This window comes from Homo sapiens, chromosome 7 (assembly GCF_000001405.40).
Source record: "Homo sapiens chromosome 7, GRCh38.p14 Primary Assembly".
Lineage (NCBI taxonomy): Eukaryota > Metazoa > Chordata > Mammalia > Primates > Hominidae > Homo > Homo sapiens.
In genome coordinates this window covers 66,874,228-66,888,942 of record NC_000007.14, presented here as the reverse complement: position 1 = coordinate 66,888,942, position 14,715 = coordinate 66,874,228, and the positions used below count along the sequence as shown (strand labels likewise).

Here is a 14,715-nt window from a genome sequence, read left to right as displayed (position 1 = left end):
TGCAGCTTTCTCAACTCCTGGGCTCCAGCTATCCTCCCACTTCAGCCTCCCGAGTAGCTGGGATTACAGGTGCATGCCACCATGCCTGGCTAATTTTTAAATTTTTTGTAGAGAGGGGGTCTCGCTATGTGGCTCAGACTGGTCTTGAACTCCTGGGTCAAACTAATCCTTCTGCCTTGGCCTCCCAAAGTGCTGGGATTACAGGCTTTAGCCACTGCGCCCAGTCTATTTATCTTTCTACAACTCATATATTAAATCTTCCTCCTTAAATCACCTCATACCCACCCATCTGCAGGAACAGCAAACACAGGTCTCAGAGGGTCAGGCAACCTACATGAGGTAAGGAGGCCAGAGTAATGTGGGAGACCGGGGGAAACTGTAGCAAACTGCAAGGTATTCACTTCAACAGTTCTTCAACACTGTGATGGTCAAACCAAACACAGAAACAGGAAGCCCAGTTCAGTTGCCAGCAGCCAACGTGGGATATTTAATCTACATGCTACAGGGCAAACTTCTTAGGATAAATGACCTGGTCTCCACCAACCTGCTCTTCAAGTCCAGCCGCTCCTGCCCAAGTCCCTACACTTTACTGACATGACCCACATTCACAGTACTCTCCTGAAACTTTGCTTGTTCACTCTTCTTTTCCCCAATGAATATTTCTTTTTTCTTTTTCTTTTTTTTACTTTTTTTGAGACAGAGTCCCCCTAAGTCACACAGGCTGAGGTACGGCGAGGTGATTATGGCTCACTACAGCTTCCATCAACTGGGCTCAAGTGATTCTCCCACCTCAGCCTCCCAGGTAGTTGGGATTACAGCCATGTAACACCACACCTGGCTAAGTTTATTAGTTTTTCTTTTTCTTTTTTTTTTTTTCAGACGGAGTCTTGCTCTGTCGCCCAGGCTGAATGGAGTGCAGTGGCATGATCTCGGCTCACTGCAACCTCTGCCTCCTGAGTTCAAGCGATTCTCTTTCCTCAGCCTCCCGAGTAGCTTGAATTACAGGTGTGTGTCACCATGCCCGACTAATTTTTGTATTTTCAGTAGAGATGGGGTTTCACCATGTTGGCCAGGCTGGTCTTGAACTCCTGACCTCAGGTGATCTGCAGACCTTGGCCTCCCAAAGTGCTGGGATTACAGGCGTGAGCCACCACGCCTGGCCAGCTTATTATTTTTTCTACAGACAGGGTCTCACTATGTTTCCCAGGCTGGCCCTGAATTCCTGGGCACAAGCAATCCTCTGGCCCCCATCTCCCAAAGCAACAGGATTACAGGCTTGAACCAACGCATCAGTCCCTAACAAACACTTACTGAGCACCTACTATATACCAGGCACTATAATAGGTGCCCAGGAAACAGCAGTGAACAAGGTGTAAGAGTTTCTGCCCTTGGCCAGGAGCAGTGGCTCACACCTGTAATCCCAGCACTTTGGGAGGCCGAGGCAGGTGAATCACCTGAGGTCAGGAGTTTGTGACCAGCCTTACTAACAGGGTGAAACCCCGTCTCCACTAAAAGTACAGAAATTAGTGGGGCATGGTTGTGCATGCCTGTAATCCGTTACTTAGGAGGCTGAGGCAGGAGAATCGCTTGAACCTGGGAGGCAGAGGTTGCAGTGAGCTGAGGTCACGGTACTGCACTCCAGCCTGGGCAACAAGAGTGAAACGTCTCAAAAAAAAAAAAGAAAAAAGAGAAGAAAAAGAGTTTCTGCCCTCATGTAGCTTATAGGGTAGCAGGAAATTGATATAGTTTCAATGTTTGTCTCCTCCAAATCTCATATTGAAATTGAAACCCTAATGTTGGAGGTGGTGCCTGGTGGGAGGTGTGAGTCGTGGGGGCAGATCCCTCATGAATGGCTTGGTGCCCTCCCCAAGGTAATGAGTGAGTTCTCTCTCTACTAGTTCACGTGAGAGCTGGTTGTTTAAAGAGCCTGGCACCTCCTCCTCTCTCCGTTGCTCCTTCTTCTCAACAAGTGACATGCCGGCTCCTCCTTCACCTTCCGCCATGAGTGGAAGCCTCCTGAGGTCCTCACCAGCAGATGCTGGTACTATGCTTTTGTTTTTCTGAGACAGGGTCTCACTCTGACACTCAGGCTGGAGAGCAGTGGTGTAATTATGGCTCACTGCAACCCTGACATCCTGGGATAAAGAGATATTTTTACCTTAGGCTCCCAAGTAGCTGAAACCACAGGTATGCATCAATGCACTATCATGCCTGGCTATTTTTTAATTTTTACTAGAGACAAGATCTCACCATGTTTCCCAGGCTGGTTTCAAACTTCTGGGCTCAAGCAATCCTCCTGCCTCAGCATCCCAAAGTGCCAGGATTACAGGTGTGGGCCACTGCGCCCAGCCTGGCACCATGCTACTTGTATAGTCTGCAGGACTGTGAGCCAAATAAACCTTTTTTCTTTATAAACTACCCAGCCTGAGGTATTTCCTTACAGCAATGCAAAATGGACTAATTTAGGAATCGTATGCCAGCACTTACCAGACTGTGATGAGCACATGACAATAGTACAGACTGGGACTGAAACGTTCCCCAGGGGCTTCTTGTTGCATCATAGAGAGTGGGGTGAGACATCTCGGCTAAGGCTAAAGATGAGTAAAGATGAGAGTGAAAGAGTGATGATGGAGGTAGGGAGAGGGTTTCCTGAAGAAGGACCAGTAAAGTCCCCCAAGGAAACTGACATTCCGTGTGGCTGGAGGGTAGGGATATGGGGAGGGTGGTGCAGGATAAAACTGGGAAGATGAGTGGATGCCAGCTCCTACCAGGCCCTGTGGCCAAATTAGTTTGGACTTTGTCTTAAAGGCAATGGGCAGTCACCATCAGGTTTTAATCAAGGACTATTCTGACCCAAATTTGCCTTTTAGGAGAATTCTTCTGGCTTCAGTGAACAGGCTGAAGTGAGCAAGCCTATAGAAGTCAGGAAGACAATTGGAGGTCCTCACAATAAACCAGTGTAAAAGAGAACAGGGCCGGGCATGGTGGCTCCTGCTTATAATCTCAAAACTTCAGAAGTCCAAGGTGGGTGGATGGCTTGAGCCCAGGAGTTTGAGACCAGCCTGAGCAATGCAGTGAAACCACATCTCTAAAAAAAACACAAAAATTAGCCGGCCATGGTGGCTCATCCCTGTGGTCCCACCTCCCCTGGAGGCTGAGGCAGAAGGATAGCTTGAGCCTGGGAGGTTGAGACTGCAGTGAGCCAAGATCACACCACTGTGCTCCAGCCTGGGCAACACAGGGAGACTGTCTCAAAAGAAAAAAAAAAAAAAGATCCCATTCTTCACTTATTAGTGCCCTAACATTCTCTTGAGAACCTTGGTGACACAGTGAATTCAACTGATTCAACTGTCATTGTAATTCGGCAACCCACACATTTAAGTTTGTGTTTGACTTCCAATGATATCAGCCCCGTGGATACAAGAAATAAGAAATTCTGTTTGGGCTATCGTGGATCTTAGACCACGACTTATGCTGAGAGGTAAAGACTTGAGCTTTTTGTTTTTCCCTCTGTAAGTGCTCAAGTGCAGCAGTCCTCAGTTTTTGAGGGACGAGGGACTAGTTTTGTGTAAGACAGTTTTTCCACAGACTCGGGGCAGCAAAGGTCAGTTTTTGGATATATCAAGCACGTTACATTTATTGTGCACTTTATTATTATTTCATTGTAGCATATAACAAAATAATTATATAACTCACCATAATGTAGAATGAGTGGGAGGCCTTAGCTTGTTTTTCTGCAACTAGATGGTCCCATGTGGGGGTGATGGGAGACAGTGACAGATCATCAGGCATTAGATTCTCCTAAGGACAGAGCAAGGTAGATCCCTTGCATGCACAGTTCACAACAGGGTTCGTGCTCACGAGAATCTGATGTTGCCGCTGATCTGACAGGAGGCAGAGATCAGGTGGTCATGTGGGGAGTGGCAGTAAATACAGATGAAGCTTCGCTCACCCACCCTCTGCTCACCTCCTGCTGTGTGGCCCAGTACAGGCCTGTGACCCAGGGATTAGGGGCCTCTGCTCAAGTGAGCAGATCACACCACTGTGCTCCAGCCTGGGCAACACAGGCTGGAGAATCCAAAAGGATTCTTCCCACACCAGTCTTCATAGTGGTCAAGTGCAGCAGCCACTTAGCTCCCAAGGCATATGCCTTAGCTGGCATTTCATCACAATCAACAGTAAGTGGTAGCTTGAGTCATTATGAGGTCACTTCCTGGAAATCACCAGCATCCAATTTCCCATTGGCAAGGAGCTCAGCACTGCCCCTTGGATACCCAAATCTATGCCCAAATCCCAGTTGTGTGGGTCTATCTCCCAGGACCCTTCCTAGCATCAATTCTGTATTTGTCAGAGTCCAAACAGGAGACATAAACCACTCAAATGTGTAAAGTGTCAAATTTAAAATTTAAAAAAAAAAAAACTAATTATGACAGGGCAAAGGCATAATGACAGATTGGCTACCAAAAAAAGAACTCTAGAGAATATAGGACTAGCAGAGGCCAGGCATGGTGGCACATATTTTACATAGTGTCATTGTTCACCTTGTTCAAATCTTTATAGGTTCAGGCTCAGGTCTCTGTGGTTGCGCAGTGTGTCTTTTTACCAAAAGGAACACCTCATGCACTTTACAAGGAGCTCCTTCAGGAAAGGATGGCACCTCGTGTAGAGGAGAGATCTCTGATCCTCTGATCTTTTCCAAAAGGAGAAAAGTAAAGGTTTGAATGTATTTTTAATTCTTGGCATTTCAGAACAGAAATAATCTGGTATTAAGTTGCTAAAAGATGCCTACAAGCTTTCATAGGAGAAACATCTAATTCATAACCAAGAGTTTATGTTATTAAGTAAACTTTCCCTTAACAGGATCAATGAATGAAACGTTTAAATACTCGCTCTCGTCCCCATTTAGTCAGCTGGTATACTCTCTGTGAGGTATACTCTTAGTCATCTGGTATACTCTCTGTGAGGTATACTCTTAGTCATCTGGTATCCTCTCTCTGAGTATGCCAGATGATTAAATGGAAATTACTGCACCACTAAACACCAGTACTGAAAACTATTTAAAAAATTGACACCTAGGACATAAAGAATGATCCTAGGCCAGGTGCGGTGGCTCATGCCTGTAATCGTAGCACTTTGGGAGGCTAAGGTGGCAGATTGCCTGAGCTCATGAGTTCGAGACCAGCTTGGGCAACATGGTGAATTCCCGTCTCTACTAAAATACAAAAAATTAGCTGGACGTGGCAGCGTGCACCTGCAGTCCCAGCAACTCAGGAGGCTGAGGTGGGAGAATTGCTTGAACCTGGGAGGCAGAGGCTGCAGCAAGCTGAGATCATGCCACTGCACTCCAGCCTGGGGGACACAGCAAGACTTCCATCTCCAAAAAAAAAAAAAAAAGAAAAAAAAGAAAAAAAAGAATGATCCTAACGCAGTTATTTCCTTTTGCATTTATGAGGAGATGGAAGAAATACCCATATTTGAGGGTTCGTTGGGAACTGTCTTTGGTATTGTATAATGTATTTCAATACTGTGAACATGAAAAGATGAGAACCCTGCAGACCCTGTGGGAATGGAGAGAAGGAAGTACATTAGAGGGTGTTGTAGGAAATACTTTCATTCCAGGCACTGCTGTTTAAACTACCCAACTTTCTTTCCTTAAAAGAATAGAAAAAACAAAGAGGACAAAAGGCAAAGAAACATTCCACATGACCCTCTGCACCCCTATTTTTTGTAATAGAGGAAAAGCATTTTAGGGATTTTCTTGAGTGCAGTTTATGATGTGATCCATGTTATTTATTTTTTGTTAATCATTTTCAAAATTTCAATTAAAAACATTCAGAAATTTAGCTTTATCAAAGGCAGCTGTTCATATGTACAACTAGTTTGGTTACCTTCAACTGTATAAACACATAGCTAGTGAATTGACATAACTATTACACTGGAGAATCAACAGAAACATGCCAAGGACTGGCCCTTACCTTCCACAGTGACCTCAATGTCAGGAAGCTTTTCATTACTCTCAGGGCTTCATGGTTTTTTTGGGGACTGCAAAGCTATAAAATAAGCACAGAATTACTTTAGTCTATTGTAGGAAAAAAATACAGAAGGAGATGCCTTATAAGGGCAGAGTATTAAAATTCATTCAGTTTGGCCCTTTTCAAAGAAACCTGTGGCTGGGCGCGGTGGCTCATGCCTGTAATCCCAGCACTTTGGGAGGCCGAGGCGGGTGGATCACAAGGTCAGGAGTTTTGAGACCAGCCTGGCGAAAATGGTGAAACCTCGTCTCTACTTAAAAAAAAAAAATACAAAAAATTGACTGGGCATGGTGGCACACACCTGTAGCCCCAGCTACTTGGGAGACTGATGCAGGAGAATTGCTTGAATCCGGGAGGCGGAGGTTGCAGTGAGCCAACATTGCGCCACTGCACTCCAGCCTGGTTGACAGAGCGAGACTGTCTCAAGAAAAAAAAAAAAAAAAAGAAACCTGCAGAATTAAACTTGTAGTGTAATCCTCCACAGGGGGCTCAACAAAGCCATGGAAACATGAATGAAGTGGGATTGCAAATGTGACACTTCCAATAAAATGTTTTTTTAAAGAAAAAGAGGTCCATTAAATAAAACACCTTCAAAAGCCAAGAAACTAACTGCAAGTCCCACAAAGATAGTGGCCAATGATTCTGTGTGATTTAAGGAATGCTGAGAAAGGATGTCTTAATGCAGTGAAATATAATATGAAGTACAGGTAATCTTCTACCTTTAGTGTTTATTTTGTTAGCCATTCCAGGAGGCAAGTAGAAAATAACTACTTCAGGTCTAGAAAACCAAGAAATGTTACAGTAGTCAGTACAATGGTGGTCTCACAGCAAGTAAAATGGTTGTGATATGACCAGGGTTTTTTCCTAAAGGTGTCCACAGAGTCATCCTGTAATGTCACAATAATTCCTATCATTGTGGATGAAAATCTTGACTTTTCCTTCCCATGACTGGCAAGTAACTGAATGAATAGTAAATTACTTCTTTCATGAAAAAGAAAATTAACACTAGTGTACTTTCTTTAGCCACTAAAACTCTGCAGAAACACAGATATAATAAAAAAATCATCAGGCCGGGCACAGTGACTCACACCTTAGTCCCAACACTTTGGGAGGCTGAGGCGGGTGGGTCGCCTGAGGTCAGAAGTTTGAGACCAGCCTGACCAACTTGGTAAAACCCCGTCTCTACAAAAAATACAAAAAGCAGGGCATGGTGGCACATGCCTGTAATCCCAGCTACTCGGGAGGCTGAGGCAGAAGAATCACTTGAACCTGGGAGGCGGAGGTTGCACTGAGTAAAGATCGCGCCATTGCACTCCAGCCGGGGCAAGAAGAGTGAAACTTTGTCTCAGAAAAAAGAAGGAAGGAAACTCAATCGTCAATATTTAGTCCCCAACAAGACTGACCCAGGAATAACAAAGCAAATAAAACCCAGCAGATTAAATGTCATTCAAGTACTTAGGCATAGTGCAAGCCACCACAGTGTGTCTGAACATCGTGGAGGCAGGGGTCACTATTCTTGTACTGATGAAGACGACTGAGTATGGGATGCGGGGTCAATGGAGAGTGCCAGGACTGCAGCTCAGAGCCAGACTTTTCATCAAGGACTTACAGCCACACTTGTCACCTCTAGCTAGAAAAACATTTTAGTAGAAATGTCATTTTATTGTTTTAATTCCAGAAATGACTACAGTGGCAAATAGAACTTACTTTTTTATTGTTGTTGTTGAGGCAGAGTCTCACTCTGTCACCCAGGCTGGAGTGCTGTGGTGTGATCTCAGCTCACTGCAGCCTCTGCCTCCCAGGTTCAAGTGATTCTCCTGTTTCAGCCTCCCAAATAGCTGGGTTTCCAGGTACCTGCCACCACGCCCAGCTAATTCTTTGTATTTTTAATAGATATGGGGTTTCACCATGTTTGCCAGGCTGGTCTCAAACTCCTGACCTCAGGTGATCTGCCTGCCTCAGCCTCCCAAATTGCTGGGATTACAGATGTGAGCCACCACGTCCCGCCTAGAATTTACTTTTTAACAACAAACTTGATTTTATTACTCCCACGAAGGATCCTTTCAAGTCATGGAATTCCAAACCAGGTAGGGCTTCGGAAGGGAATCCTGTCTGGCAAGCCTTCTATATACAGGAAATTGGAGTTTGATTCAAACACAGGATATGGTACTTTTACTGCCTCGGCGAGTCCAACAGCTTGAGCTGAAAGTGCAAGAGAACATAATTTGTAGAAGATAAAATTTGACACAGACATTCTTTTATTTGTATCTGCATTCTCAAGTACATTATGGACAAGTTCCCTACAATCAAGCAATATCCACTTCATATTGAAGGCATTTTACTTAGGATATTGGGCAAATCTGAAGAATAAGCCTAAAAAATAAGTACTTTTAGGAGGAACATTTTAACACTTTCAATCAAAAGGAGAGTTATGTTATTAGTCAAAATGACCTCTGTGCTCTAAGCAGAAATGACCGAAATCCACTCCATACAGCAGTGGCCCCTGGCAGCCTTTGCATTCTCATCAAGAGGCAGGGTAGCTGTTCAAAGACAGGTGGTGTCTATGATGCAACTAAGCAGCGCTCGGTAAGTTCCAGTCATCAGACACAGAGTAGTCAGGATTCCTGATAAGGGACAGGAAACATCAGCACCAGGTATTGAGATAATAAACAGGAATGCCCCAGGAATGCTGGGAGCACTCCCCATTCATTACTTCCTTCTCCATGACAGATACACCCAATCAACTCAAACACACTTTCTTGCTGAGCCTGCTCAGAATCGTTCAAGACAGCACTCCAGGAAACCTCTGTCAACAAATCTAAGTATTTGCCACACGTGTTAGCCAGATTTGAAGTACAGACAGCGGAATGACACTTATCCCAACGCCTCCCTTCCTCTCCCATCCTGACACATGAGAAAGCTGAAACCAAGAGAAATGAAGTTGCCTGCTTAGTTTCAATAGCAAGTGTAGTAGTAGAAATAAACCAAAGCCCGGTTTCTGGGACCTTCCTTTTTTAGGTCCTGAACTTCTATAATTCATTCAGACATGACCCTTCATTGACATGTTATTAAATTAAAGACATACTGCAGGGGAAGGACGATGAGTCCCTTCATGTTCATATGAAAGAGCAAGACTATCTCCAAAAAATAAAAAATACCAAAATGTTTCAATTAAAAAAAAAAAGCGTGATGGTCTTTGGCAGTGTTTAAATAGAAAATAAGAGTATCACTTTCAAATAAGCTGACACTTTCTGAACATATAATAACCAGGGTCACAGAATCAGAGGCCAGTGAGAAGATTAAAAAGTACCCCTGTGAGCCCCAGTGATACATACACCACCAGGAAGATTTCCTGTTCCTGTCCCTCCAACGAATCCACAGCAACATAATCTCGGCAAGTGACACGATCTGCCTCTCCTACCTCCAGGCAGCCACGGGGAAAGTGGACAGCAAAGGGACCATTCCCTGTGTCACTGATAAGTGAGGCTCAATGGGAAACATGAAGCATGAGGGGCACCCAAAGGTAGGTGACAAGTTCAGTGTCTCCCCTTTGTCTTCCTGCTTCATGTATTGTCTGCATCTTCTGCTCTTTTCATGATAAGGAAGGAAGCAGCAATAGCAATAGCATGTCTAAATGTGGGACTACCCATCGGGTATCATGGAACTTAGTATAGAAGTTTATACAACCCTGGGAGCTTTCAGACCTGGTCTCCTAACACGTACATCTAAGTTTTCTAAGGTTCTTGACCAGGCAGTAAGACTGTGAGCCCCCAGGAGTTTACATAGGTTTTCTAGGGTCTTCACACAGCTAACCACAATCGTGGCAACTCCTTCATTTCCTTTTTAAACAAGTGTTTTCCCAATTGTTCCCTTAAAATTGGGCAGTTTAAGTTGGGCACGGTGGCTCACGCCTGTAATCTCAGCACTTTGGGAGGCGGAGGTGGGCAGATTACTTGAGGTCATGAGTTTGAGACCAGACTGACCAACATAGTAAAACCCCGTCTCTACTAAAAAATACAAAAATTAGCTGGGCGTGATGGTGGATGCCTGCAATCCCAGCTGCTCGGGAGGCTGAGGCACGAGAATCCCTTGAACCCAGAAGGCAGATGTTGCAGTGAGCCAAGATTGTGCCACTGTACTCTAGCCTGGGCGACAGAACAAGACTCCATCTGAAAAAAAAAAAAAATTGGGCAGTTTAAAGACTCTGATATAGGAAGTGAGTGTGCACAATGATTAGTGGCAATAAGCTAATAAGCATCATTAACTAGGCTATGGTGGTTTTTTAAAATTGTGATTGGCTGGGCGAGGTGGCTCACGCCTGTAATCTTAGCACTTTGGGAGGCCAAGGCGGGCAGGTCACCTGAGGTCGGGAGTTTAAGAACAGCCTGACCAACATGGAGAAAGCCCGTCTCTAGTAAAAATACAAAATTAGTCAGGTGTGGTGGCACATGCCTGTAATTCCAGCTACTCGGAAGGCTGAGGCAGGAGAATCCTTTGAACCCAGGAGGTGGAGATTGCAGTGAGCCAAGATTGCACCATTTCACCCCAGCCAGGGCAACAAGAGTGAAACTCCATCTCTAAAGAAAAAAAAAATTGATACCCAGCAGACGGTGAGGCATCCATAATGTGACCAGGTGCCAAGGATATCCCTAAGGGTGGAACTACAGTGAAGTCTCCTGAATTTCCTACCTTGGGCCCCTTCCCTGGCCCACCCCCTACCCATATAACCACATACTCACTCTTCTTTCCTAAACACAAATTGAGGGACACTCAAAGCAAAAGCAAGCACTGTACTCACTTCTTAACCGACCCATCCCCTCCTCCATCCCCAACACATAGGAAGAACTTATGTTAGCCTTGAAAATAAGAAACACTTACCATCCCACAGTTATTTTTCCAGGCTGCCTTTTTTAACCACTCACTTGGTAGAAACTGTTATTCTCCAGGCCAGCAGCTATTTGTAAAACTGGTCTGCCTCCCTATTTTCACACCAAAGACACTAATTATTTAGTAGAAAGGGGAGTATTCTAAATCAGACAATTAGCAAATCACCTAGAATTTCCAACCCCTCCACAGAGACACACAAACAAGAGAATTAACCCAATTTGTTGTCTATAATAAACAGGATGTGCTACCCACCACTGAGCCCCAGAGCTTGTTACTAGATGACTAATCCCTAACAGTAATGGCTACAATGGCCCAGTTCCCTATTTTATTGCTGTGTGCAGAAATTTGAAAGGCACTCCTCTCCCACACTCATCTTCCCTTATATACTTTTGCACATCAATCCATTAAGAATCTGAAGTGTAATTTATCTTATTCACTATTATCCTGTTAAGTTGCTCTATAGCTGCCATGGGAGTAATTGCAGTGATCAGTGATTCTGACTTCTTGAGCAAAGGGCCTTAAGTAGGTTTCACTATTAAAATTTCCAAAGGTTTTATTATTGAAATAAACCTGAGAGAGAGCAGTATGCCTCCATGGGGCAGTCATACTAATGATTCTTGAGTTACGAAAAGATGTCAGACTCCGCCCCGTCCGGGAGGTGAGGGGCGCCTCTGCCCGGCCGCCCCTACTGGGAAGTGAGGAGCCCCTCTGCCTGGCCACCACCCCGTCTGGGAGGTGTACCCAACAGCTCATTGAGAACGGGCCATGATGACAATGGCGGTTTTGTGGAATAGAAAGGGGGGAAAGGTGGGGAAAAGATTGAGAAATCGGATGGTTGCCGTGTCTGTGTGGAAGGAGGTAGACATGGGAGACTTTTCATTTTGTTCTGTACTAAGAAAAATTCTTCTGCCTTGGGATCCTGTTGATCTGTGACCTTACCCCCAACCCTGTGCTCTCTGAAACATGTGCTGTATCCACTCAAGGTTGAATGGATTAAGGGCGGTGCAAGATGTGCTTTGTTAAACAGATGCTTGAAGGCAGCATGCTCCTTAAGAGTCATCACCACTCCCTAATCTCAAGTACCCAGGGACACAAACACTGCGGAAGGCCTCAGGGTCCTCTGCCTAGGAAAACCAGAGACCTTTGTTCACTTGTTTATCTGCTGACCTTCCCTCCACTATTGTCCTGTGACCCTGCCAAATCCCCCTCTGTGAGAAACACCCAAGAATGATCAATTAAAAAAAAAAAGAAAAAAAAAATATGTCAGACTCATCATCAATGTTGTGCTTGTGAGTACGAGTAACTGGGAATTTATCAACCAATAAAACTAACTGGGATTCTAAGAATGAAGAATAATAATCTCATTTTAAGTAGCATATGCAGTGCTGTGCAACCCTTTAAAAAGCTGACTTTGGCTGGGCGCGGTGGCTCACACCTATAATCCCAATAGTTTGGGAGGCCAAGGCAGGTGGATCACCTGAGGTCAGGAGATCGAGACTATCCTGGCTAACACGGTGAAACCCTGTCTCTACTAAAAATACAAAAAATTAGCCGGCTATGATGGCACATGACTGTAATCCCAGCTACTCAGGAGGCCGAGGCAGGAGAATCACTAGAACCCAGGAGGCAGAGGTTGCAGTGAGCCGAGATCACGCCACTGCACTCCAGCCTGGGCAGCAAGAGCCAAACTTTCTCTCAAAAAAAAATAAAAATAAAAAAGCTGCCTTTGACCGGGCACAGTGGCTCAGACCTGTAATCCCCAGCATTTTGGGAGGCCAAGGAGGGTGGCTCACCTGAGGTCAGAAGTTCGAGACCATCCTGACCAACATGGCGAAACCTTATCTCTACTAAAAATACAAAAATTAGCCGGGCATGCTGGTGCACGCCTGTAATCCCAGCTACTCAGGAGGCTGAGGTGGGAGAATTGCTTGAACCCAGGAAGCAGAGGTTGCAGTGAGCCGAGATCATGCCACTGCACTCCAGCATGGGCAACAGAGCAAGACTCCGTCTCAAAAAAAAAAAAGCTGCCTTTGCTTACTGAAGTATTGCTTGTAAGAGCAAATACTGGAAACAACTGAAGTGCACATGTATAAGGAACTGATTCAATAAAGTAGGAGGCAGGCATTCACACAATGCAATACTATGCAGCTCTGATTTAAGAATGAGAAAGCTTTCTCTGTACCAACAAGGAAAGATCCCCAAGACATACTGTTAAGGGCAAAACAGTACAGAACAGGTTATATGAGCTACCTTTTGTGTAAAAGAGTATGAGGAGGTAAGAACATACGTTCATATTTGCTTTTATTTACATAAACACTGGACGGATATACAAGGAACTATTAAGAGTGACATATGATAAGGTGGAGAAGTTCTACACGGTGCACCAGACAGGGCTGGAAATATTAAACATCTCAACATATGCCTTTCAAAATAACTTCATATTTTTAATTTACCTTTACTACCTATTTGTTTGGGTCAGGGCTCCATTTCCTCCACTTTGGGACCAGGTAATCAGGCTTCAGACTACCTACCTCTGCCTGTCAGAAGTCACTAACCTCGTGAAAGGAATAATTTAGGTTAAAGGAGGAGCAAAGCTATTACTCAACTGTTTCCTTAGAACAGGAAAAACTGGGCCGGACATGGTGGTTCACACCTGTAATCCCAGAACTTTGGGAGGCCGAGGCAGGCAGATCATGAGGTCAGGAGATCGAGACCAGCCTGGGCAACATAATGAAACCCTGTCTGTACTAGAAATACAAAATTAGGGCCAGGCATGGTGGCTAATGCCTGTAATCCCAGCACTTTGGGAGACTGAGGGGGAGGGATGATGAGGTCAGAAGATCGAGACCATCCTAGCTAACACGTTGAAACTCTGTCTCTATTAAAAATACAAAAAAATTAGCCAGACATGGTAACAGGGACCTGTAGTCCCAGCTACTCAGGAGGCTGAGGCAGGAGAATGGCGTGAACCCAGGAGGCGGAGCTTACAGTGAGCTGAGGTAGTGCCACTGCACTCCAGCCTGGGTGACGAGCGAGACTCCGTCTCAAAAAAAAAAAAAAAGAAAGAAAGAAATACAAAATTAGACAGGCATGGTGTCACGGGCCTGTAATCCCAGCTACCCAGTAGGCTGAGGCAGAAGAATGGCTGAAATCCAGGTGGCAGAGGTTGCAGAGAGTTGAGATCATGCCACTGCACTTCAGCCTGGGCAACAGAGCGAGACTCCGTCTCAAAAAAAAAAAACAAAAAAATAAAAAACAAAGAAAAACTGATAAAACATGTGGGCCCCTAAAATTTGAACATTTAAATGCAAGACTGGGTTAAAATATCTTTAAAACATATAAAAAATACACAAACAGCAGAGGTGTGAGAATATGCTAAAAAATATATAAGGGGAGTGAAAGAGCAAGATAGTGGTCCTCCTTCCCTGCTGTCTTTATAGTTTGATTTCATCCTTGGCTTTTCATAATGGAAAGAGGGTAGATATGCATTTAGGTCTAGGATTACAACTATAGGTGTTTATTTGTTTCTTTGTTGAGATAGAGTCTCACTCTGTCACCCAGGCTGGAATGCAGTGGTGCAGTCTCGGCTCACTGCAACCTCCGCCTCCCGGGCTTAAGCGATTCTCCTGCCACAGCCTCCCCAGTATTACAGGCACCCCCCACCATGCCTAGCTAATTTTTGTATTTTTTGTAGAGACAGGATTTCACCATGTTGGCCAGGCTAGTCTCCCCTAACCTCAAGTGATCTGCCTGCCTCGGCCTCCCAAAGCACTGGGATTACAAGCATGAGCCACTG

General features: G+C 44.8%; 1 pseudogene across 1 annotated transcript in view; it reads right to left on the bottom strand.

Annotated features, from left to right (window-relative positions):
• Positions 1-4,669: 4,669 nt before the first annotated feature.
• Positions 4,670-14,715, bottom strand: part of GTF2IP23 (general transcription factor IIi pseudogene 23) — a 36,824-nt pseudogene continuing 26,778 nt past the window's right edge. Inside the window, exons 5-7 of the transcript NR_135738.1 lie at positions 7,740-8,234; positions 5,976-6,050; positions 4,670-4,690 (exon numbers count right to left, since the gene is read on the bottom strand). The product of NR_135738.1 is annotated as a general transcription factor IIi pseudogene 23 (transcript). The remainder of the gene's footprint in view (positions 4,691-5,975; positions 6,051-7,739; positions 8,235-14,715) is intronic.